The 27,885-nt window shown below is 36.5% G+C and overlaps 1 protein-coding gene across 26 annotated transcripts in view; it reads right to left on the bottom strand.

Annotated features, from left to right (window-relative positions):
- Positions 1-27,885, bottom strand: part of NLGN4Y (neuroligin 4 Y-linked) — a 323,039-nt gene that overhangs the window by 105,517 nt on the left and 189,637 nt on the right. For 13 of the 26 annotated variants that reach the window (NM_001394830.1, NM_001365586.1, NM_001206850.2 and 10 more), the window contains 2 exons: positions 20,620-20,679; positions 16,869-17,021 (listed from right to left, as the gene is read on the bottom strand). In NM_001394830.1, coding sequence (NP_001381759.1) covers positions 16,869-17,021; positions 20,620-20,679 — 213 coding nt within the window. Of the gene's footprint in view, positions 1-6,588; positions 6,687-16,868; positions 17,022-20,619; positions 20,680-27,885 lie in introns of those variants that run through there. The other 13 variants (NM_001365591.1, NM_014893.5, XM_047442720.1 and 10 more) reach the window with 2 other exon arrangements.

The raw sequence follows: 27,885 nt of genomic DNA, 5'->3' as shown, positions 1-27,885 counted from the left end.
ATTCTGAAAAAGAACCTCATTAAAATTAACTCTCACTGGACATTATGTTGACTATAGGGTGTCTCTTTTCTGCAACAAATATAATATTGGTCTTTGGTTTCCTAGAGAAAAGCCTGGAGATGAATGGGCTAGACTCTCCTCTATAGTCTTTGTTGAGACTCCAGTATTACCTCCAACTCTCGGTAGGATTTGGGATATGTTACTCGGTTTATTTAATATTCAGTTACTCACAAAAGAGAAAAGCAATCCCTGGTGATCAGCAGCTGACCTGGCAATGTCACCTAAACCCTGGCAATCCTGGGTGTTTTCCTGTCCCTTGCAGCTAGGTTGTGCCATTGTTCTATTGAATATAAATAATAGTAATAATAATAATAATAATGGAACAGTGACAGAAGGAAAAACCACTGTGTGATCATGAAAGAACAAGACAAAATGAAGACCACATTGTAATCATGTCTGGACACTTACACAAAAAAGTGGTTATTCAAACACTCAAACATGATCAAGTGTCCACCTGTCCTTGGTATCATCAGTGACTGTTGTTTCTTTGTCAACCATTGCTTTAACCTATGCTTCATTTTTCCTCCTCTTACATAAGATTAAGATAACCAGTCATAGAACTGCCAACACGTCCTGAAAGTATCAATTCCAAATTCAAGCACAGTTTTCCAGAACCCTCTGTAAATCATTTAAAACAAGCCCCAATTCTCTAACTCTTTCCTACCCTTGTACTGAGACATCCCCTATGTACATATTCTTTCTTGTTGTAAAGAGTCAATAGAAGTGGGAAGAACATCTGGGGTCATGAATTCAAGACCAGCCTGGACAACATAATGAGATCACACCTGTAAAAAAAAATAAATAAAAATTAGCCAAACGTGGTGGCAGGCAACTGTAGTCCCAGCTATTCAAGAGGCTGAGGTGGGAGGATTGTTTGAGCCCAGGAGTTGGAGGCTGTAATGAGTTATGATCACACAGCTGCACACCAGAGTGGGCAACGCAGCAAGATCCTATCTGTAATGAATAATAATAATACTAATAGAAATACATAAGAGTCAATAAACCCAACTTAATTCAAGAAGAGGGGGCCTCTGGTGGTATTTGTTTAAAGAAAATCAAGATAATATTAGGATCTCATAGGATTTTTGTAGGAGGGAGATGGGATAACAAATGTTATTTCTGACAATGTGGTTGGTTGTTACAAAGTGAGTGACAAGCATGATATTATAATTATTATATCAGTATATGGATAAATATATTAGCAAAGTTAGCATCCCTGAGTGAAACCAACACTGTGCTAGGGTCAATGAAAAATTTCTCTGGCTCTATAAAGTAAAACAGTTTTCATAGACTATTGCAAACTCCCCAACTGTTAAACAATTTGCTGAGTATCTCACTCAGTTTTTTTCTGACAGTCAAAGTTTTTCTCAAGTGTTGACATTTAATTGAATAAAAATATGTGACCCCCTCCATAGCCCTGCGGATATGAGTTAACGTTACTGAAAATACTAGATTATCAGGAACACTAAGCAACACCAGACAGCTCTTGCATTTTCCGGGATTCTCTTCTGTAGAGAGGCAAAATGCTCCACTAATTAGAAAAGTGAGGCAGAAGTCCTAACATTAAATAATTTTTTACTTAAGAAGTCTTGGCCAATATCAACCACTGAGGCAACAAGTCTTAATGGCAGGTACCTCTGGAGAAAAACCAATGGGATTCCAATGATATCCCAAAAGATCACCACCAGGTTATCAATAAGAAAGACTGTAACCTTAGCTTTACTGTTTGACAAATGGAAAAAAAAATAGCGTCTCTTTTTATTGCTTTTGTGAATTGAATTGGACATTGCATGTAAATATCTTGAACAGGACTGGAAAACAGAGTGAAAGTCATTATTGTTATTTTTGTAATTACTCATGATATTAATATAATTATAAAATATCTTAGGTCTTTAATTTTCCTAGTTAGTTTGAACTGTACTCCACAATACTAAAGAAAAAAGAAAATATAAAAACCTTTTTCCTAAAGTTTCATAAATAATTTTACCATACGCCAAGCAAGCAAAAGCCATCACAAAAAGGCCAGTCTGTCATCTATACAATACATATTATATTATTAGCAAGTATCAATATAAAATATAATTAAAATATTTAAGCCTAGAGAAAACCATAGTTACCACAGCAAGAATGGTGCTATAGTTATGGATGTGTAGAAGGTTTTTACTTCTTTAACCTTTTGGCAATGTATTTATGTATTTTTATTTTTATTATTTTTTTTTAGAGACAGGATCTTTCTGTCTTTTAACCTTATTGCAATTCATCGGACTCTTTCCCTTTAAAAAGTTATTAATAGAAATATACTCTTTTGGAAATGCTGTTTTTTGCCATTTATTTACTTATTTATTATCAATATAATACATTTGAACATATTTTAGAGGCAAATGTAATATGTTCACCCCTGTAAACAATGTGTAATGATCCAATCAGAGTAACTGGGATATTCATCATCTCAAATATTTATTTTTTCTTTGGGTTAGGAATATTCCAATTCTTCTCTTCCAGCTATTTTGAAATATACATTTTCCTACCACATTATCCAATCATATAATTTATTCCTTCTATCTAACTGCATTTTGTACCCCTAAACCATTTTCTTTTCTCACCAAGTAAATTAGTGTGTCCTATACAGTAAATCATATTAATAGGAGGATAGCTTTGTTTTGTGTGTTTTAATTTGATTCTCCTCTATGTAACCAAACATCTCTAAGACATCATCTGCCTTTGGCTAATGGAACAGTAAAAAAATTTGTTTTATATTGTTTCTTCCTGATGATACCTTATTCTCTTTAGGTCAGGTGGACTTCTCAATTCTAATACCAAAGATCAAGTCCACTTTGGAAAATGGTTGGGTAGTTACTAACCAAAGATATCCATGCCCCTTCACAGACATTCTGCAAATTTATGTGACTCATCTGACATGTGAATTCTGTCTCAAAACCTACCATTTGAAAACTGGAACACATAGGGCATTTATCAGATTGTGAGTGCTGACTCAGATAATATTTATAGACACATACAAGGATGTTTGATCTTCAGAAATCTCCTGCCACAGCTTGCTATGATTTTATCTGGAAGATGATTTCCCAAAGAATCCCCTTATTTCTGAGTAAGAAAATATTGTAGACCATGATTTTCTCCCCAGAAAGATTTCTGTGTGCCATGGATATTAGTCCATTCTCATGTTGCTAATAAAGACATACCCAAGACTGGGTAATTTATAGAGAAAAAACATTTAATTAACCCACAGTTCCACAGGGCTGGAGAGGCCTCTGGAAACTTAATTGTGGCAGAAGGTGAAGCAAAAATGTCCTTCTTCACATGGCAGCAGCGTGGAGAAGGGCAGAGCAAATGGGAGAAAAGCCCCTTCTGAAACCATCAGATCTCATGAAAACTCACTATGATGAGAACAGAATGAGGGTATCTGCCCCCAAGATCCAATTACCTCCCACTGGGTCCCTCCCGCAACATAAGGAGATTAGGGAAACTATAATTCAAGATGAGATTTGGATGCAGACACAGCCAAACCATATCTTTCGGTCCCTAGACCCTCCCAAATCTCATGTCCTCACACTTCAAAACACAAATCATATCATACCAACAGTCCCCCAAAGTCTTAACTCATTCAGCATTAACTCAAAAGTCCAAGTCCAAAGTCTCACCTGTGGCAAGACAAGTGCTTTCTGCCTATGAGCCTGTAAAATCAAAAGCAAGTTAGTTACTTCCAAACACAATGGGAGTAGAGGCATTGGCTAAAAAACACTTGTTCCAAATGTGAGAAATTCACAAAAATGAAGGGGCTACAGGTCCCATCCAGGTCTAAAATCCTGTGGGGCAGCCAAATTGTAAAGCTCTAAAATAATCTTCTTTGACTCCATGTCTCACATCCAAGTTACAATAATGCAAAAGTTGGGCTCCCATGGCTTTAGGAAGCTCCACACCTGTGGCTTTGCTGCATACACCCTTCAACACCAGCTGCTTTCAATAGCTGGCATTGACCCTCTGTGGCTTTTCCAGGTGCTTGGTGCAATCTTCCACTCTGGTGTCTGGAGTATGCCCCTCTTTTCACAGCTCCACTAGGCAGTGTCCCAGTGGAGACTCTGTATGTGGGTTCTAACCCCAAATTCCCCTTCCACCAGATACTATAAATCATCTCTCTCAAGTTCAAAATTCCACAGATTTCTAGGGCAGGGGCAAAATGCTGCCAGTCTCTTTCCTTAAACATAGCAAGAGTCACTTTTATTCCAGTTCCCAACAAGCTTCTCTTCTCCATCAGAGACCACCTTAGCTTGGACTTCATGGTCCGTATCACTATTAGCATTTTGGTCAACGTCATTCAACAAGTGTCTAGGAAGTTCCAAACTTTCCCATATCTTCCTTTCTGAGCCTTCCAAACTGTTACAACCTCTGCCTGTTTAACCCAGTTCCAAAGTCACTTCCACATTTTCAGGTATCTTTACAGCAGCACCCCACTCTCAGAACTAATTTACTGTATTTAGTCCGTTCTCACACTGCTAATAAAGACATACTCAAGACTGGGTAATTTATGAAGTAAAAAGGTTTAATTGACTCACAGTTCAGCATGGCTGGGGAGTCCTCAGGGAACTTGCAATCATGGAAGAAGGGGAAGCAAACGTGTTTTTCAAATGGTGGTAGCAACAAAAATGTTGAGCAAAAGGGGAAAAAGCCCCTTATACAACTATCAGATATCATAAGAACTCACTATTTTGAGAGCAGCATGAAGATAGCCACCCACAAGACTCGATTACCTCCCATTGTGTCTGTCCCATGACATGTGGGGATTATGGGAAGTGCAATTCAAGATGAGATCTGAGTAGCGACACAGCCAAACCACATTACCATGCCATGTAGTATAATGCTCAGGCATGCTTAGACATACAAAAGTGTCTATGTAAACTATATAAACCAAGTCAAATGCAGTAAAAATAAAACATAGTTTGTTTAGTGTGGAATCAGTGGAAATACATGAGATTCAGTCAACATGCTTACTAAAAAATGGCATAATTTAAATTACTTCACATGATACTTAGAGGCACGCTCTTTACAGCAAAAATACTGACTTGTAAATCACTATCATATACAATTGTTGGGAGAAAATTTTTCACCTGCAAAATGAAGTGTGCTTATGAAAGTATACCTATTAATTTTAGACAGAGATCTTCAGAAGATAAATCAGCTACTGGCTTTTTGCAAACCAGAATTCTGTGAAAAAATTAGAGAAAAACCCAAAGGAGTATACATTGATTTTATATTCTTATAGTTGAAACTTTTAAACATCGTTGTTGTTGTGTTTTAATCTCATTTAAGAACAAGTGGAAATTTGACAACATGAACACTCACTGCTAAGGGGTGTAGAATACATATAATTGGTTACCTAAGAAACTTGGAAATAATTACTAGGGACTCTGTTTATTTCCCATGTTAGCAAGGAAGCTCCCCAAAGTCAGGAAACATGTGTAATGACATCTGAGCTCCAAAGACATTCCTTAAATGAACAAAAGGAGATTTAAAATAATTAAACATTTTCAAACTTCCACAAAAATGTGCCTCTTGCATACCTAAAATAAATATAAAATTGATAGGGACAGAGGCAGGGAAATTATGGGCAGAAGAGAGTGGGTACCTGGAGAGGGCTCCACCCTCAAGCCAAAAAGCATGCAACCACAGCCCAAAGTGAGAACTTACATTCCTGTCTTCTTACTTGAATGTTGCCTTTTCCAAAACCACCCATGGCCCTCCCTGCCCCTCATTTGGTGCCCATAAAAACTCTAGGCATAAACAGCAGAGGGAAATACCAACTGGACATTAGAGACAATGGTTGGACATCAGAGAGAAGTGGCTTGACTTCAGAAGTACATCGTGATGGTGCAGCTTTGGAGAGGATTTTGACCATGAATGACTGGATTTCTAGGGAAGGTTAACTTTCTGCTCTATCCCAGCTTCCCTTCCCCCTGAGAGCAATTCTACTGGCAATAAAATCCCCCACATTTACCATTTCAATTTGTTTGTGTGACTTCATTGTTCCTGGAGGCTGGACAAGAACTTAGGTGCCATGAGTGTGGGTGTAAAAGGCTGTCACACCCACCCACCACTGAGCTGTTAACATGCTGTCTGCAGATGGCAAAGATAAAGGGACACTGTAGTACTTCCTCTGGGGCTTCCAGGGTAGCAAACACCCTCTATGAGATGCTGCTGTGGGGGTGATATGGAGTTCCTTCTTCCTTACACCTAAAATTGCTGGCATCCAAAATTGCTCATCTTGGCTCCTGCACCCTCTCACATGTGCTTCTCCTCCTGTGAGGGGTGGAGCAGTGAGTCAATGGAGATTGCCACTGCCTGCCCCGAAGTGGCCAGCAAGTTCCAGCACCTGTGCACTCCAGTTCCCACCCATGAAAGCATCAGGGAAGTGCCGTGTTTCACTAAGAAACTTGTAAAGAACTAGAAGGATCTCTTGTTTATTTTGCATGTTGGGGTAGAATCGCCCTAAAATCAAGAAACATGTGTAATAGATTGCATCTGAACTCAAAAAAAATTTATTAAATTAGTGAAAGGAGATTTAAAATAATTAAACATTTTTGAGCTCCCACACAAACGTGCCTCTTGCATACCTAAAACAAATAGAAAATCACATTTATTAATTATGAATTTCATGTTTCTTTGTGAACCCATGTTCTCTCATTTTATAACTACATTTAAAATATAAAGACAAGGGAAAAATGAAAATAAAACTTGTCTTCATACACTAGATATTTTGCAAATGGACACTCTCTTTGGACAATAGCAGAAATATCTTTTCACATAAATGAACAGCAATATGTTAAGCGCATCATCTATTCCCAAAAATGCTACAAGTCATATAGAGAAAATGAAAATGTACTGTTTCATTTGATGAATGGTGAGGCAGGAAATGAGAAGAGTAGAAAATGAACAAAGGCATGCTTTTCTTTTTCTATCACTAAACATTAAGTGATGCCAATTGGTTATTTTCCTCCTGGCACTGCATGAGTAGGGTTTTAGAAACCGGAAGCTGCTGGGTCAAATAAGGTTCTTGGCTTATGCACTCCTCACCCTGTTTCCCCCATTACCTGGAGTTTCAAGATCATTTACACAAAAAGCATGCTTTTGAATATTTGGTAACATTTTCTCCTGCTGGCAATTTGCTCTGCAGATTGTAATGTTTCATGTTCTTGAGGATTGAGAGAATATTTTTCTTTAGGCATAAATGTAGCCCACTGAGAAGAGGGTCAAGATGCAGGATCAAGATGCATTGATCTACAATCAGGATCTACGTGATATATTATCCCATGTGCCTATCAATATTGCAATCCAGCAAGAAAATGACACTTGGTTAGATGTTGCTTGAAGTGCACTAGTTTACTTATCCTGACATCACAAGATAACTGCTTTTATCAATTATATTTTAACTTCAGATTATTTGTAAAACATAAAACAAATTAAAACAAAACAAACAACAAAAGTGAGATAAAGCAGTGATTGGGGATCCTGTTCCAGTGCAGATCCCGGGGATTCTCTTACTGGCATGATGAATGGTTAGCAGCTTTGCTGCATTGTGGAAATAAAATGCATTCCTCAAAAAAATGGACCAATGAATACATAGCTTTGGCCTTTAAGGTCATGTCAACCAACCGTTGAAACCACAAGGGATGCATGCTATCTGAGTGCCAACTGTCATCAATATAACAAACACATTTGAGATGGGGATGTGTTCCTGAGTCGCATTTAGCTTCCTCTCAGAGAAGTGAGCCTTGACTGTCTGCATCAGAATCCTCAACACACAGCCCTGGGTGGTCTTCACTACCCAGTTGTTGGGACTCAGAAATCCATGCTCCAACATATGGTGCTTTGATGTGTTGAACTGAAGAAGAAGCCTCAATGTCTCTCATCTTCTCTCACTCCCTCTTGTCTTTCAACCCTCTGTGACCCCAAAGCACAGGAGGAAGTTTTTCTCTAATGTTGCTTATCTGCTAAAGTCTGGACCCATCAAAAAAGAAAGCAAAGGGCCCTTCCCTGAGTTTCTACTACCTGAACTCATATCACAGGAAGAAAGACTGAAGTCTGTCAACACACCTGGACAGACTTTGGGTCAACCATTGGTTGATATGACCTTAAAGGCCCAAGCTATGTGTTTATTGGTCCATTTTTTTTGGGGGGGAAAGCATTTTACTTCCACATGCAGCATAGCTGTTAACCATTCATCATTCCAGTAAGAGAATCTCTGGTATCTGCATTGGAACAGGATCCCCAATCACTGCCTTATCTCACTTTTGTTGTTTGTGGTTTGGGTAAGTGTGAAGAATACAGTAAAAGTTAGAAAAATTGGACCAAGTTTAAACATCTAACATCTTTATCATCCTAAAAACAACTTTATCTTCCCAAATTTACTTTATTTCAAACTTGTGCTATTTTACCACCTCGCTTCAGCACGGGGCTTATCTGTGGCTTTCTAACTAGAAATTATACAGCACTTAAAAAAATTACCAACTGTATGTTTCCCTTCTCTTTGTTAAAAGTCATAATTTTAAGGAATTATAATAAAATGTGGAAATGAATGACATTTTGAAAAACGTCAAAAAGCAACATACGTTGGCAAGAATGGTGAGAAAAGGGTACAGTTATACACTGTTGGTGAGAAGGTAAATTAATACAACCTCTATGGAATGCAGTATGGAGATTTTCCAAATAACTTAAGATAGAACTACCATTTGGGGCCAGGCGTAGTGGCTCACGCCTGTAATCCCAGCACTTTGGGAGGCCAAGGCAAGCAGATCACAAGGTCAAGAGATCGAGACAATCCTGGCCAACATGGTGAAACCCTGTTCCTACTAAAAATACAAAAATTATCTGGGGGTGGTGGTGCAGGTCTGTAATCCCAGCTACTCAGGAGGCTGAGGCAGAAGAATCACTTGAACCTGGGAGATGAAATTTATACTGAGTCAATATCATGCCACTGCACTCCAGCCTGGTGACAGAGTCAGACTCTGTCTCAAAAAAACAAACAAGAACTATACACACACACACACACACACACACACACACACACACACACACACATAATTTGGTTCAGCAATCCCAGTAGTGGGTTTCTGCCCAAAGGAAAAGAAATTGTTCTATTAAAAAGAGACCTGTACTGATATGTTTATCACTGCACTATTCACAATAGTAAAGTCATGAAATCAACTTAAGTGTCCATAACAAATGACTAGATAACTGGATACATAAATTATATATACCGTAGTTTATATATCCATGGAATACAACTCAGTAGTCAGTCATAAAAAAGAATGAAATTATGTGTTTTGCAGGGACATGGGTGAAACTGGGTGGAACTCAGTATCATGAGTGAAATAACTCAGAAAGTTCAATACTGCATATTCTCACTTATAAGTGGGAGCTAAACAACAGGTACACATTAACATACAGAGTGGAATAGTGGAATACAGAGTGGAATAGACACTGGAGGCTACAAAATATGAGGACATGGAAGGAGAATGAATGATGAAATAATACCTACTGGATACAGGTTCCACTATTCAGGTGACGGGTGCAATATAAGCCCAGAGATCACCACTATGAATAAACCCATGTAACAAAACTGAGTTTCTAACATCCATAAATTCATAAACTTTTTTTTTAGATGGAGTCTTATTCTGACACCTAGGTCAGAGTGTAGTAGCGTGATCTTGGCTCACTGCAACCTTTGCCTTCTGGCTTCAAGTGATTCTCCTGCCTCAGCCTCCCAAGTATCTGGGACTACAGGTGTGCGCCACCATGCTTGGCTAATTTTTGTAATTTTAGTAGACATGGGGTTTTACCATATTGGCCAGGCTGGTCTCAAACTCTTGACATCCTGATCCACCTGCCTAGGGCTTCCAAAGTGCTGGGATTACAGGCATAAGCCACCGTGCCCTGCCCATAAACATTTTTTTTTATGAAAAATAAAAGGTAAATACAAGCATGTTTTCTTAAAACATATTATTATTTTGTTCTTAAAATAATTTTATTTCTTAAAACATGTATTTTGTCAGCAAGTATATACATCTGCTAACAAAACAGTGGATGCAAATACAAAATATAGCTTGTAGCTGTGAGCCCAGGGCCCTGCAAGTGGCATGCTTACAACACTTAAGTTCTCACCATATGTGCAATGAAATGGATAGAAACTGGATACGTATAAAATTTTCTCCTTTCTACAGTTTCTTAAAGTAAAGTGTTTCCCTGGTCAAAGTCAACTCAAGTTTGCTGTGAGATCAAATGGACACCCTGGGGTTGTGAATAGTCAAATTAAGTCCTAAGCTAAAGTGCCTCTGAAAGTAACACATAAGGAAGAAGGAGCCCTGAGAACAGTTTAGTTTAGTCTTCCCTTTTGGGATGCTGTGAGGTACATTGACATGTTTTATTTGATGGTTGTTTAGTTTGTTTATATGCTCTTTTGAGGACATGGATGAACACTAATTTCTTTCCTACCCTTTTAAAGAGATCATCCTAGTGAAGTACATGACAACTTCAGACTGTATTCTTCTTCTATTTAAGATGAAATTCACATAACATAATGTGAACCATTTTAAAGTGTACTGTTCTGTTTGACGCCATTCAGTAATTCACATTTTTATGAATCTATCTCTAGAACTCTTTCTTCTTCACAAATGGAAACTCTGTAACCATGACATGCTAATTCCCTATGGTTCTCATCCCAGAACCAGTAACCACTAGTCTACTTTCTTTCTGTATGAATTGAACCCAAATGTCCATCAAATGAAAAACAGATATATAATAGAATGTGGTCTATCATAAAATGGAACAGTATCCAGCCATAAACCAGTATGCGGTACTGACTGATACATGCTACAATGTGGATGAATCTTGAAAACCTTGTAAACATTTTGCTACGAGAAATAAATGAGATATAGAGAGTATGATTTCAATTCCAAGAAATATAAGAATATGTGAATACACACAGATGTGTTTTTAAAAGTTACGTGAGTTTCTACCACTCAAAAATTACCATGTCCATTGCAATATTGCTGGATATGAGATACTGAACATGACCTAACATGGTAATGATTACAATGAGTCAATTAAATCACAGATATCATAATGATTTCTTTTGTTGTGATACAATATAGATAATATGAAATTTTATCATTTTAGCTATTTTTTGGTGTATAATTGAGTGGCCTTAAGAATAGTCACATTATTGTCCAACTGTCCCCACCATCCATCTCCAAATGATTTTATACCTTTCAAAATTGAAATTCTATCCATTAGAAAATAATTTTCCATTTTGTCTCCCAGCCCCACACAAACACCATACAACTTTTTGTCTCTATGAATTTGACAACTCTAGGTGGAACCCCATATTGGTAAAATAATACAGCATTTGTCCTTTTGTGACTAGCTTATAGCTTATTTCTCTTAGAATGATGTATTCAAGGTTTATTTATATTGTAGCATGTATCAGAATTTCCTTCCTTTTTACAGATGAATAACATTCCATTTCAGTAGTGTATGTGTTTGTATTTGTGCACACACACATACATATATACATATACATCAATTTTTATCCATTCATCCATCACTGGGCAGTGGCTATTTCAAAAGTTCACCTGTTAGCTATTGAGAAAACATGGCTAAGAATTTGGGCATACAAATATCTCTTGGAATACCTGCTTTCAACTCTTTTGAGTATATACCCGGAGGTAGAATTGTTGGATCACATATGGTAGTTCCATGTTTACTTTTTTGAGGAACAGACAAAGAGTTTTCCACAATGACTGTACCATTTTACATTCCCACCAGCAATGTGAAAGAGTTCCAGTTCCTCCACATCTCCATCACAACTTCTTATTTTACATTTACTTTATTAACAGCCATCCTAATGGATATGATGCCAATGATCCAAGAATACAATTTATTTTGCATTACTGAGAATGTCAACAATTAAGACTTTCGATGTACTGGTCCAAGCTCCAAACACTCAACAATGAACCAAACAACAACAATTCATGCCCTTAAAGAGCTGACCTTCTGGTGTGTGGGTACTGATCGGAAACAGAGCAACTGATTTGCACTATGATTGTGGCGAAGATGGATTGAGTCATAGATTTGACTGGAAATTGGATCCACTTCTGCCACTGTCAAGTTTTGTGACCCTGACCACAAGCCTTCATTTCTTCATTTGTCAAATGAGATTGGTTGTATAGGCCCATGGGAACATGTATGAAGACATACACCACTTTCACGACACCAGGGGCCCCTATTTCAGCCAGATCCAATAGAAACTGCTCTCTGTTCACAGAATGAACACATCTAAATAATAACTCTCTGTTTGGCATTTTTCTTCTGTTTTGTCTCTCCTACATTTTCTTTTTAGGTTCTATGGTGATTTGAACTTGAGGCTCAGTTTCAAATGCATTCCATGTCCAGTTATACCCATGCAATGATGAATCACAAAGTGAAGCAAGTGGGATATATTGCTAACCATGAATAAGAGGTTGGAATGTCTTGTTCTGATTAAGAGCAGTCAATTAGGTCTAATTTCTGGTGGGAGTGCAGGTAAATATTATCTTGCCTATAACTTGCAGGTGAGTGACTACAAAAATCACATTTATCTAGCAACCTTTAGTACCATTGTCTTGACTGCTGAGATCAGGAAATATCTCTCTGCTGCCTAGTTAGTGTTGCTGTCAGTAATTCAGGGGTGGGATTAAGGGTGCTTCCTAATTGTAGACCCCTCTATTTAGACCTCCTGAATCTGTTCTATGAAACTCATACTTAAAATTGTATCCCCTAGCTCAATCAGCCTCCAAGACACTAACATAGAACCTTCCCTCTGTTATAATTGATGAATGGGTCAGTAAGTTAATGATGCTACTACCTTCTGCATTAAGTATTTGAATTATACTTTTTGGACAATACTAATATCTCAAATTTCTTTTTCTTTCTTTCTTTCTTTCTTTTCTTTTTTTGGAAACACAGTCTTGCTCTGTAGCCCAGGGTGGAGTGAGGTGGTCACTGCACACTCCAACTCCCAGGCTCCACTGATTCGTGCATCTCAGCCTCCCAGGTAGCTGGGATTACAGGTGTGTGACACCATGCCCAGCTAATTTTTGTATTCTTAGCAGAGATGGAGTTTTGTCATATTGTCTAGGCTGGTCTCAAACTCCTGGCTTCAAGTTGTCCTCCTGCCTTAGCTTTCCAATGTGCTAAGATAACAGATATGAGCCACTGCATCCAGCCTCAAATATCTTTTTCTATATCAATTTAGAGATTACCCATTTTGAATAGCAATAATATCTGTTTCCCAAAGAACAAAAGGAAAGTTTCCAAATTTGAACTTCAAATGAATAAGCTCTGGAAAAATTATAAAAGGCAAGCACTATTAACTTCCTATCATTGGTATCTTCAAAAGTTAGCATAAACAAAAATTCCAGTGTAAATTAAAGAAAGAGTAAATGGGAATCAGTAATAATATACTATTTGTACTCTTCCATCTATATGTTGAAGTGTTTAATAATCTATTAATCTATACTTGCACCAGAACTATTATCCCCAATATAAAGTATCTCAGAGTTAAGAAACTTTCTGAAATAGGATAATAAAAAAAGAAAGAAATTTTGGTACTATAAAAACCTTCTGTTAAGGTTACCCACAACACCCTTCATACTTAAGCTGGCCAACCTGTGGCAAATGAGAGCATTCATGCTGGCTAAAAGTAAAGCATATTTATTTGCATTCAAAAGATGAATCTCTACCAATATCCAACATCTCAAATTCAGAAATACATATATCTTTGTCTCTGTAGTAGGAATCACTGGCATAATCCTAGGAAATTTTTAAAAGTCTGAAGAACTTCTCTATGATGGCATTTTTCTTTTCACTGACTTAACAGTCTGCTGGAGATGCATCTGATGGTATCATTTGAAAGAAAACTATCTCTCCTGCTGATCAGTGAACTAAGATCTTATGGGTTTTAGGTATCGTTTTTATACACCTAGGTCCTGTAATCCATGGCCTAAAGTTGGATCTTACCAGAATATAGGTCCTAACACCAGTAAGGTTCAAGCCAGCATCTGTGAATCAGACACCATTAACACCACCTTCTCTAAAACACCCAACTTGTTTGCATGTTACATAATCATTATTCACCTGTCTTTAAAACCAGAAAAGGATGTTACATAATCTCTTCATGGTACTATGGGGTGGGGAAAGAGTAAAAATAAAAAATAACACCATCTCACAAATCTTGGGTTCTGGCAAATCAGATATGTTCTAAAGAGAAGGCTATGACACAGTTGATTTTAAGAAAAAAAATTAGGCATTACAAGGCCATTCATTTCATTAAAAGTCCACGAGTCACGTTAAAATGGGAGTTATGTTTGAATAAGTCCCTTTTTTAAAACTTGCATTAATCTTTGATATTAATTTTTAGGAACCTCCATTTTCAGATGGCACATGCCCAAATTGCAATTCCAAGGTAGAACATTAATGAGCATTTGTAATCGGAATTAATAATAGAGGGAAAAGTTGGAAATAATACAGCAAGGTAAAGGTTTTGTTTTATATTTATAACCCTGTAATTTAAGAAGAAAATGTGAAATATAGCTCTGTGTATTGGCCCATGGGAAAGGTGCTTTTTGCACAAGTTTTGTGACAAATGGGGAAAAACACTTTTACTCCTTGTCAAACTGATGGAGAAGTTTTAAAGGCTCAGGGAATAAACTTTTAGATACTGCATGACTATATTATTTGAATACAAAGGGAAGAAGAATTCCAGACTGTCCTCAGATCATCTTACCAGAGTGTGGCCTAGTAAGTAGAAAGCAAGGTGGAATTCTGAACACAGTGGTTGTGCACACATATGGAATGGAAGCATCTGAAAGCACCTATATTCACACATACATATTGCAATAATCATCGATTGGGTGGAGTGGGTTGAGCAATATCCTCCAAAAATATATTTCTACCTGGAAACTATGAATGTGATCTATTTGAAGACAGGGTCTTTGCAGATGTAATTAGTTAAGGGTCTTCAGATATAATTATCCTGAATTTAGGATAAACCCTAAATCCAATGACTGGTATCCTTACAAGGAAAGGAGGCCTGGCAAGGTCGCCAACACCTGTAATCCTAGTACTTTGGGTGGCCGACAGGGGTGGATTACCTGAGGTCAGGAATTCGAAACCAGCCTGGCCACCATGGTGAAACCCCATGACTACTAAAAAAATATAAAAGTTAGCTGGGCATGGTCGTGGGTGCCTGTAATCCCAGCTACTTAGAAGGCTGAGGCCAGAGAATTGCTTGAACCTGGGAGGCAGAGGTTGCAGTGAGCCAAGATCATGTCACTGCACTCCAGCCTGGGTGACAGAGATTCTGTCCCCCTACCTCCCCCAAAAAAAAGAGAAAAGAAAAGAAAGGAAAAGAAAAGGAGATGACACATAAAATACAGGGAAGACAGTGTTGTGAAGATAGAAACAAACACCAGGGCCACCAGAAGCTGAAAAGGCAAGAAAGAATCTTGTTCTGGAGCTACCTAGGGAAAGACAGCCCTGCCAACACCTTTGTTTTGAACATCTGGTTTCCCAAATTATGAGAAAGTAAATTCCTCTTGTTTAAAGAGAACATTTGTCATGATTTGTTATGAAAAAAAAAAACTAATACATGAAGATTACAGGATTATTTAGAAAACACACCAGCCAGTTGCAAAATTCAGCACACCTCTTAGAAACCCATGGTTTATGGTCTCTTCATAATGAGTGATTTTAAATGCCCATGAAAGATCTAAAGAAAAAATATTATACTGTAAAGCTCTAATGTTTTGCTTTTATAACTCTGACAGTCTGTTAAAAATATAAAGACATGCAGATTTTCTTAAACTGTAGGTTTCAATTCAAGATCAAATGCATGCAACAAATATAACTTCATTCAAGCTAACCTACATGTAGTGAATTGAATAATTTGTTAAAATTTTATTTTCTACATCATTTTAATGGATTTTTACCCAAAAAAACAAATGTTTTTACAGAGATCTAGGAATATTATTCACGAACTAACCAAAAGCAGGAAAGGTCATCTAAGAAGGTATTAAAACCTTTACCCTGAAGTTGTAACTTAATTTTCCAACCCACAATTAGAAGACAATGAATGAAACATCTAAACAAGGAGGAGCTAAACTTGAATTTCCATGTACTTGGCCTTTAATTGTAGATTATCAAATGAAAAAAAAAAGTCAACTAACAGAACCTAAACAGCAGATCTTCCAAAGCCTCAACATAATCAGTTAGGGAACTGGATAAAATCTTTTCCTCCATACAATATACTAATTCATATAGTAACACAATCAGACTAGAAAGCTAAGATCTATGGCCATTACTAATTATCATATCACCAAATATGTGCTCATTATACACACTTATGTAGATAAATACACATTCATTTAATTCCAATGAAGAAACATGCTTTAAATAAAATTTCATTTAATCCTGATGAACTTGAAGTGGCCATTTGTTTGAGAAGGGATTCAACTTCCACAAGAAAAAAATTTTTGGATCAGAAGCGAAAGGAAAAGAATGATAATAAAACAATAAGATGGTCATGTTGCATGAAGGTAATAAAAGGAAAAAACATACCTGATAACATAAAGTAAATACCGTAAAGTGGAATTAACCAGGAACTGTAATAACGGGATTCAAATCCATGAGTCCCATCAAAATAAGAAGTGGAACTTTCATGTTTCCTCTTGCTTAGTCATTCACATGATGAAATCACTTACCTAGTATTCCCAGACGGTAGTTAATGGTGATAACGATGACGTTCCCATAGCTGGCCAAAATGCTGCCATCAATCATGTTACCGGTTCCCTCCATGTAAGATCCCCCATGGATATAGACCATAACAGGCTTCTTACTGTTCTGTTCATGAATATCTGGAAAAAAAGCCAAGTAAGGAAACGCAGTAAAGAATCTTACTGGCTCACTCACTGATGCTAAATTAAGAACAAAGGAGATTCCCTGATTTCCTTATTTTGACTTGAAGTAAGCAAATTAATTTTTATGGATGATATGACACTTGATAAGAGTTTCTAAGTAACTTGACTAATGCTATTACATTTTCTGTTTCTGGAAATGCTATTTTTTTTTTTTTTTTTTTTTTTTTTTTTTTTTTTTTTTTTTTTTGAGACGGAGTCTCGCTCTGTCGCCCAGGCTGGAGTGCAGTGGCGGGATCTCGGCTCACTGCAAGCTCCGCCTCCCGGGTTCACGCTATTCTCCTGCCTCAGCCTCCCAAGTAGCTGGGACTACAGGCGCCCGCCACTACGCCCGGCTAATTTTTTGTATTTTTAGTAGAGACGGGGTTTCACCGTTTTAGCCGGGATGGTCTCGATCTCCTGACCTCGTGATCCGCCCGCCTCGGCCTCCCAAAGTGCTGGGATTACAGGCGTGAGCCACCGCGCCCGGCCGGAAATGCTATTTTGAGAAGCATCTGGATGTTTGGGATACTCTACTCATTTAAGCTTCTGTATATATCCAAAGCACTAAAAGAAAAGTTTTTAGGTAAAGTACATATTTTCTAAATTTTGCTGAAACCATAAAACTTGATTTAAATTGAAGAAGCACCTGAAAAAATATATTTAATCATCTAGTTAAATGTAAAATCAGCTTCAAAATTATACTTGATTTTAACTTAGCTGCATCTTAATTCACAAGTAACTGTACAGATTCATCTTCAATTTAACAATAAAAACTTAAAAATAGTAGTGAAACTATCTATGATCGATAAGGGACAGATAAGGACAAGAAAGGAAAAGCTATAGTTAAAAATTATTAACAGAACAAAAATGGGGGAAAAAAGAAAAGATGTCCAAGCAAATGTCTTTGTTCCAGTGATTATAGTATCATCATCATCCTAATATATTCAAGTGACAAAAATTAAAGAGATGTAATAAAAAATGGTAAAAGAATACAAATTATTTAAATGCTTTATATTTTCACAGGGACTAAACTCCCATGGTGACTTGCAACCAATGATTCCTCTTCATAATTTACTTTATTATTTAAATTAGCAATGATATAAAAATAGCGATTTGTAATGATAGAAAGTTAGAGACTATCTGTGGAGCCTGCTCTCTGAAAACTTGTGATTAAACGATGTGTTTATAACATTAATCTGACATTAGGGCTGCATTTAATCTTCAGAAAACTGACCTCCCCTATAAACATTTCTAGGTACAGATACGTGTGTGTGTGTGTGTGTGTGTGTGTGTGTGTGTATACAAATAATTTAAATATCTTTGTTACTAAAAGAAAAATCCAAGTATCCATGCATATTTATTTTCACTTTTTTCTTTAATAAAGATTTTTTTCCCCTCATAATTCACAGGGACACTTGAAATATGAGAAAGGAATTCTGAGGATATGAATTACCATCGTTTGGATGGTGGCTCCAATTTGAATGAATTATGATCACAATTTTACAGGGTGCATACAGATGACATGACATACCCAATGGTCACAGTAAAGCACACAAAAGAATGTCAAGTTACCCGAGTATTTATTTGCAGATATTTAATCCACGGCAGAAAAGTGTCTTTTATTTTCTCATATAAAATTCAAATATAAAGTAAAAATCTTCATTCATCACTTATTCATCATACTCTATGGGAAATGTCCTCTGCTATATGAATAAGAAATGGCTTTTCTCATGTTCCACTTCTTCTTCCCGGTTCCTAATTTCCTGTTTTTGGCTTCATTTCTTTTACCACTACCAGCTGTTGGCTAGTAAATTGTGGTAAAAAGAGTAAGTAGAGATTTTGAAGGGCTGCTTTAAAGTGCTCCCTTTGAAAATATGGGAAATTAACATTTCTTACCTTTCATAAAACATACAACAAGATTCTCTTGAACTTGTGGAGTGATACCAGTTGTTACATTAAAGCAAATTCAAAAAATCACAGCTTATTAATATTAAGAGAAAATTAGATGGCATTTTCATGGTAATAAACATTCACTGGGAATAATGTGAAAACAGATCTTAATTATCAAAAGGAAGTATGTGAGAGGACACCAAAGAGGATACAAATTAGAGCAGTATAAGGTATGAGAGAACAAAAGTTTATTTCATTTTTATGTATTTGCTCAATACTGACAAAATGTGAGGCATTTAGAAGCCCTTATCAAAGAAGAGGTACCTGAACTTCTACCACCATCAGAATCAAGACCTCTTAGAGAGCTACTTGAGGCAGTGACAACCCTATGTGCTCAGTAATAATCAAAATGTTAAGGGAAGACCAGGCATGAAAAGAGTGTTGGCAAGACTTCTTTTCTTGGAGAACAGTTGATTTATGAAGATAAGCAAGGAGGGGAGCAACTACAAGAACTGGTCAAAAGACACTTTCAAGAAAATGGGGCTTGACCAGCAAGGATAATGCAACACTCACTTTTGGGCTTGGCCTTTCAGACAGAGACCCAAAGGTCCAGCCAGGGCCTTATTGTTTATGAAAAATAAATAGAATTCCATACATTTTGCTACCCAGATGGGAAAAAATGTGCAGTTAGCTAATCATATAGAGCCTTACCAATGAGGAATGGCTTGAGTACTTTCTTGTTGTTTCTCCTCTTTTAAAAAAACAAGAACAAAAACAAAAACAAATTTCTTCTACACAAAGGGGATAAAAATAGTGTCTATGTTTTCTGCATGACTGCTCAGACCTTCCACCTTTATGAAAAATATTTCCACTACTGGTAGATAATCTATTGAGCAATTTTGTCACCTTAAAAAGAAACTTCACAGCAATAAAACATTTAAAGGAGAAACATATTTTCAAAGAACGGTGGTGTGAAAACAAAGATGCACATAGCTAGCTTTTTGTCCTTTTTCAGTTCTGAGCTACTTCTTATTTTTTTCTTTAAATGTTGTAAAAGGCAGTACTGAAAGAATCAGGGCTTGTTAACAACAGCATCTTGTTAAAATGCTTTTTGATGTACTTCACTGTAAGCAGATTATTGGATGACTATGTTGGAATCAATATGTTTGTAAAGAATGCCAAACCAAAGAAACAAAATTGAAACTTCAGTCCTATGAAAAAATTATTCTAAGGTGCTGCAAAGTTTTGCAGTTTGCAAAACTAATTAGGAAGACTGAAGCTGCAAAGTAGTATATTAACTTACAAAATAACATTTGGAAGGGATAAAAGAGACTATACATGCATTCTTTAAAATTCTATTTTTTCTTCTTGTGACAAAGCCAAAAAAAGAAAAAAAAAAAAGGTGGGCTTCTCTGTAAGTAGTATTTCATTACTATTTTCATGTACAGAAACAATGTTTATACTTCACACAGTGATTTGTTTCCAGTACATGGTAACTGGGGTTAAAAATAACAGTGGTTTCTATACAAGAAGAAAATAAAGAAGCACACAAAAGTGTACAAGAGTTAAATAAGGGGAGGAAAAACAGGTTGAAATAAAAAAAAGAGAGAGATAGATAGACATAAAATCATGCATCAGGGTTGAGCTTTGAAAAAACAAAAAATACCTTTATCTTCACCATGGTCATTACTGGTTATATCGTCTGCATTTCTCTTTATGTTGGTTCCTGGGGTGATATTGAAAAGGAAAATAAAGGGATGAAAGAGAATTCAGAAACAATATGTTTGCAAAAAATTCAGAAAAGAGAAAGATGCTACCTAGTAAAAGAAAAAAAATGAATGTAACACAAAAACTTGAAATTGGTTACATTTGGTTTCAAAAAAATGAGATAGGGAAATGCAAAATGCATATAAACATAAAGATGTCAAGAAGAACAAATTCAAAATGTTACTTGTAAAAAATATTAGCTATACTGTGGATATGCAGTTGGGGGTTAAAATGATGCTACTGCAAAAAAATGCTAATGTGAGTTTTAAAAAAAGAGAAAATAAAATTATTAAAGGTATTTCCCACATTCTTAAAAGAAATGCATATGGCATATTTGACAGTACTTTGATTTGAACATATTATAATTTAAATACATTTTTGAAATGTTACTGATACACTATGGTTAGAAATTTTCATAAGGCAAGCAAAAGCACATACAGCAAACATGGGAGGACTTTAATCAAAATATCAGAAAATTGACATTAATTGCATGCATTAGAAACTTAAAATTGCACAATCTCTAAAAATTAGAAATGTCCCTAAATCACTAAGATTTACCTCTACTCCATGTTTAAAGAACAACTACCCATTATTCAGTATTGTTTTCTTGTATTAACATCTACTACTTGCAATAAGTATTTAAGTCAGGACAAAATATTATAGACTATGTCTTCTGTGTTTAAAATAGTTATTAAATATTACTTGAAAGTTATTGAATTTGAATTTGTTATAGAAAATAAAAATTGAAGTCACCTACCTGATCACCTCAATAATATCTGCATAGGAAATTTAATATAGGCAAAATGCAGGAAGAGGCTTAAGGATAGCAAAAACTAGGCTATGCTCTTTGTGTACAGAGCACCATTTTGCTTTTTATAGCTTCCAGATTTAAAAGGTGTGAACATTTAATTTTGCTTGAATTACTTAAAAAATTGGCTCCATTGTTTCCTTTTCATAGACAGATGTAGCCCATGTGTGCATACCCCACTATCAATAACTTTAACTGTGTCGCTCAATTAAAACAGTCTTTGCCTTCCTATAGGGTTCTAGGATAAGTGGATTAAGGCAGAGGGGAAATACTGTTATGTCCAATACTTGCGAGTGAAAAACATTTTCCAGTTCTACATAACTCAAAAGAGGTTAAACATATTTTGAAACCAAGACTTGATATTGCTGTTTCCATACATCAAACAAAACTTAATTTCCATTTAATGGGGCTTAATATCCTTTAAAATCAGACCTGGCTGAGTGCGTGGGAGTGACAGCCTTGCTGATCCACTTTCTGTCTTTGTAAGATTTGTCTTTTTCTAGGCATTTCATATAAATGAACTCATATAATATGTAGTCTTTTGTGTCTGGCTTCTTTTACTTTACATAATATTTTCAATGTCCGTCCATATTGTACCATGCATCAATACTTTTTTAGGGCTAAATTATTTTCCATTGTATGGGTATACCACATCTTTTAAATCCATTTATTTTTTAGTGACATTTGGTCTATTTCTACTTGTTGATTATTATTAATAATGCTGCTATGAACAATTATTTGTGTACCTGTGTACCATTTTTTGCATGGACATATATTTTCATCTCTTTGCATACATATCTAGGGCTGAAATTGCTGTTTCATAAGGCAAATTTATGTTTAATGTTTTTGTTTTAAGAAATTGGCCGATTATTTTCCAAATTAGCTGTAATAGTTGGCATTCTCACCAATGGTGATATAAAGGGTCTCTATTTTTTCTATTACCTAGACAACACTTGCTAATATCTTTTTTGTTGTTGTTGTTATAGCCATACTAATGGGTGTAAAATTGTGTCTCACTGTAGGGTTTTTTTGTTTGTTTGTTTTTATTTTTTGAGATAGAGTCTCACTTTGTTAGCCAGACTGGTGGGCAGTGGTGTGATCTCGGCTCACTACAACCTCCATCCACCTCATGGGTTTAAGCAATTCTCGTGCCTCAGCCTCTCAAGTAGCTGGGACTCCAGGCCTTCACCACTACTTCTGGCTAATTTTTTTTTTCCATAGGGAGTCTCGCTCTGTCGCCCAGTCTGGAGTGCAGTGGCGAGATCTCTACTCACTGCCAGCTCCGCCTCCTGAGTTCACGCCATTCTCCTGCCTCAGCCTCCAGAGTAGCTGGGACTACAGGTGCCCTCCACCATGACCGGCTAATTTTTTTGTATTTTTAGTAGAGACGGGGTTTCACCGTATTAGCCAGGATGGTCTCTATCTCCTGACCTCGTGATCCGCCCGCCTCGGCCTCCCAAAGTGCTGGGATTACAGGCGTGAGCCACAGCGCCCGGCCGCCCCTGGTTAATTTTTGTATTTTGGTAGACATGGGATCTTTCCCTATTGTCCGGGATGGTGTGAAACTCCTGGCCTCAAACAATCCACTCATTTTGGCGTCCCAATGTGCTGGAATTACAGGCATAAGCCACCACACCTGACCTCATTGTAGTTTTAATGTAGCTAATGTCTAATAACTAATGATATTAAGTATCTTCTCATGTATACTCTCTTTGGTGAAACGTCTAATAATATATTTTTGCCAATTAAAAAATAATTTGTGTCTTATTACTGAATAGTGTTTTGTTTTGTTTTACACATTTTGGAGATAAAAATCTTTTATCAGGAATATAGTTAGCCAATCTCCTCTCCCAGTTTATGGCTTGTCTTTTGGTTTTCTCAGTGATAACTTTCAAAATGCAAAAGTTTTTCATTTTGATGACTTTAAACTGATCAATACTTTTCATTAAAGGATTGTCCTTTTGAGGTTCAACTGATCAATTCTTTTAACTACTGTATTTTTGAAGTCACATTTATGAAATCTTTCCCAATCCATGGCCCTGAAGACATTGTCCTGTGTTGTTGATGTTTCCTAAAAGTTTAAGAATTTTAATTCTTACATTTTCATCTGTCATTCATTTTGAGTAAATTTTTGGGTATAATAAGTGTTAAGGGTTGAAATCCATCTTTTTACATATGAATAACCAATTGTCTCAGTGCCATTTATTGAGAAGACTATCCTTGCCTCCTTTAATTGTTTTCGCAGCATTTAAAAAAACTTGTTGACTATAAATTGAAGGATTGATTTCTAAACTGTTTATAATTGACTGTTGAACTACATAGGTCTGAACTGTGCTGTGCAGATCTACCTTTTTCTTCCATCTCTACCACCCATCCCTGAAACAGAAAGACCAACCTCTTCTCTCCTTCCTCCTCCTTAGCTTACTAAATATGAAGATGAGGATGAGGACTTTCAAAAAGATCCACTTCTATTTAATGAGTGGTAAATGCATTTTCTCTTATTTATGATTTTCTTAATATCATTTTCTTTTCTCTAACTTAGTTTATTTGGAGAATACAGCATATTGTATATATAACATACAAAAGATGTGTTAATTAGCTGTTTATGTTATTGGTAAGTATTCCAGTCAACAGTAGGCTATTAGTTGTTAAGTATTGAGGGAGTAAAAAGTTAAAAGTGAATATTCGACTGTGCAGGGGTTCTAAACCTTGTGTTGTTCAAGGGCCAACTGTAATTAATTATATATCATTAATCCAAACTTATACCCAAATGAGTTGCCTACTATCTCAATTACTATAGCTTTATAGTACCTTTATTTAAAAAAAAATTATACTTTCAGTTCTGAGGTGCATGTGCAGAACGTGCAGGTTTGTTACATAGGTATACATGTGCCATTGTGGTTTCCTGCACTCATCAGCCCGGCATCTACATTAGGAATTTCTCCTAATGCCATCCGTCTCCTACCCTTCCACTCCATGACAGGCCCGGGTGTGTGACTTTCCCCTCCCTGTGTCCATGTTTTCTCCTGTTCAACTCCCACTTATGAGTGAAAACATGTGGTGTTTGGTTTTCTGTTCTTGTGTTAGTTTGCTGAGAATGATGGTTTCCAACTTCATCCATGTGCCTGCAAAGGACGTCCTTTTTTATGGCTGCATAGTATTCCGCGGTAGATATGTACCACATTTTGTTATCCAGTTTATCATTGATGGGCATTTGGGTTGCTTACGAGTTGTTGCTATTGTGAATAGTGCTACAATAAACATACATAGTCATGTCTTTATAGTACAATAATTTATAATCATTTGAGTATATACCCAAAGAGACTTGGGTAAATACCCAATGGGATTTCTAGGTCAAATGGTATTTCTAGTTCCAGATCCTTGAGGAATTGCCACACTGTCTTCCACAATGGTAGAACTAATTTACACTCCCACCAACAGTGTAAAAGCATTCCTATTTCTCCACATCCTCTCCAGCATCTGTTGTTTTCTGAGTTTTTAATGATTGTCATTCTAACGGGGCATAAGATGGTATCTCATTATGGTTTTGATTTGCATTTCTGTAATGACCACTGATGATGAGCTTTATTTCATATGCTTGTTGGCTGCATAAATGTCTTCTTTTGAGAAGTGTCTGTTCATATACTTCACCCACTTTTTGATGAGCTTGTTTTTTTCTTGTAAATCTGTTTAAGTTCTTTGTAGATTCTGGTTATTAGTCCTTTGTCAGTTAGATAAGTTGCAAACTTTTTCTTCCATTCTGTAGATTGCCTGTTCACTCTGATGCTAGTTTCTTTTGCTGTGCAGAAGATCTTTAGTTTAATAGGATCCCATTTGTCTGTTTTGGCTTTTGTTGCCAATGCTTTTGGTGTTCTAGTCATGAAGCGTTTGCCCATGCCTATGTCCTAAATGGTATTGCTTAGGTTTTCTTCTAGGGTTTTTATGGTTTTAGGTCTTAAGTGTTTAATCCATCTTGAGTTAATTTTTGTGTAAGGTGTAAGGAAAGGGTCCGGTTTCAGGTTTCTGCATATGGTAAATGAAAGCCCTCCAACTTTCTTCCCCTATTCCAAGGTCTTTTTGCTTGTTCTAGGTCCTTTGACTTTCCATGCAAATTTCCACATCAGCTTGTTAGTTGCAACAAAACCTCCTGCTGAGATTTTGATAGAAATTACTTGCCAAATCCCAATTTTAAATTAATCTTATTTAGCACAGCCTCACCCCAGAAACAGAAAGGCAGAAATTACATACTGCCTTTCCTATGCATAATTTTTTAATCCTTTCTTTCTTTTTTGATAAACTGCTGCTTTATTTGTCCATGTAATTACAACTAACTAAATGTCTCTAAAACAAAACAAGTCATCTTGATTATCTAGTTTGAACACAACCATGGTCTATGTACATGCAGGTAATAGACGGTTCAGGAAAAACAATTTGGCTAATGTTTATTCAAGAATAAACCCAGCTTGTGGCTTGGACACACACACACACAAAGAAGCCCAAATAAAACCTAGGTGGACTGCGAGTTTCCTTTCTCTTCTCTATGTCTACCCTTCCTCAAAATGCCAGAATAATATTCCATTTCATACAACAATTAGCATCTCTGTAAAACTTCTGTGCAGAACTGGTTTTAAATGAGAAGATTTAAATACTCCAAACAAAAGTACAGCCATTCTATTATTAAGATTTAAATATCATTTTATTAAAAAAATCTCAATTTCCCTAATCCTGAAGAATATTCCAGCATTTTTTAACCTGTTCTTCTGATGTTCACATTTAGTGCTTTATCTATGTTATTTTCAAAGTCAGTCTTTCTAAAATAGTACTTTATGTTATTAATGTAAGAGAAACACTTTGTAAATAATTTGGAAAATGATATGCACATGGTGGCTCATGCCTTAATCCCAACACTTTGGGAAGTTGAGGTAGGTGGAGCTCAGTAATTCCAGACAAGACTGGCCAACATGGGGAAAGCTCGTCTCTACAAAATTCACAAAAAATTAGCCAGACATGGTGGTACATCCTGTAGTCCCAGCTATTCAAGAGATTGAGATGGGAGAATCATTTGAACCTCATTGCAGTGAACTGAGATTGTGTGATTACACTCCAGCCTGGGTGACACAGCTAGACCTTATAACAAAAAGAAAATTTAAAAATGTGGAAAATGAGGACTATTGTAAAAGCAAAATTAACATCAAAGGAAAAACCTCACAGTCACATCTACTGCTGTTAACATTATGCATCAGGAAATAATTTAAATCTGTTTATAATATATATTAATTTTATTGCCACTTACATATCTAAATCATCAGAGAAAGTCATCAGATACAAATGTGATCTTGTTATCTAAGCAAGAATATAAGGAAATAGCCAAAAAGAACCTTAGCATTATTGCTCTTCATGAGATATTATATTAAAATGTATTTAGTAGTTCATATTTTACTGTATATTCCTTTCTTTTAAGAGGTCAAGGTTAATTTTCAACTTGATACTGTTATCTTAAGTAGAGAAAGAGGCTTTTTTAGTGAACTACATTATTTTCCATATTGCTCCTCCCGGGGCAATTTGCCTATGGGAGGAGGTGAGGAAATAAATGTTTTCTTGGCCATGATAGATGTGGGTGTGATTGATTATTTTATCACTTGGCCACAGAGGAATACAGGCTTAATCTTGTAATCCAACGCAGAAAGGCAACTGGGGGAGAATTTACAATCCCCAGTTCTCTGCAGCTAGGAGGTGACTGATCTGTCTTCACAGACTGACCATGACACATGAGTTTATTTGCTCATAAGCCCATTCCTTCTATAAGTATGTATTGAACCTTTTGACTGGCTTAGAGAGGTAATGCCATGCAGTCCTGGCTAAAAGAGGTAAATACATAGCCACGCTGAAAAAGGAAATGAACATCAGAGACAGACATGCATACAGATCATTCCAACGTGGCAGGAAAATGCATGCACGAATTGAGGATACTCTGCTGTTTCTGGTAGGCCAGTCTGGGGATAGAAGGGTGGCTGGTGAGGAAGAGGGTTAGGGCTGCTAAATATGCACAGAAGAGCAAGGACCAGTAATACATTTATGGGAGCAAAGAAAACAGGCTGCTCTGAGGGAAAGCATAGGTTGGAAGGGGAGGGCACAGAAGGGACAAGAGTAGCCCAAGAAAGATGAGAAGAGCAGGTACTCAATCTGGATACTTCCTCTTTCCTCCATACACTGAGAGAAAAGACTCTAGCTGGGGAAAATATTCCATGCAGACATTTTGAAATCTATCTGAACCTCCACTTGAATAGTACTACCACCAAGAAATTGAAAGATGACTTTCAGAAGATTTTCAGATTGGATCATTTACCGATGGGCTTC

This window comes from Homo sapiens, chromosome Y (assembly GCF_000001405.40).
Source record: "Homo sapiens chromosome Y, GRCh38.p14 Primary Assembly".
NCBI lineage: Eukaryota > Metazoa > Chordata > Mammalia > Primates > Hominidae > Homo > Homo sapiens.
Note: the sequence above shows the minus strand (reverse complement) of the source record. Positions and strands in the feature narration are given on the sequence as shown.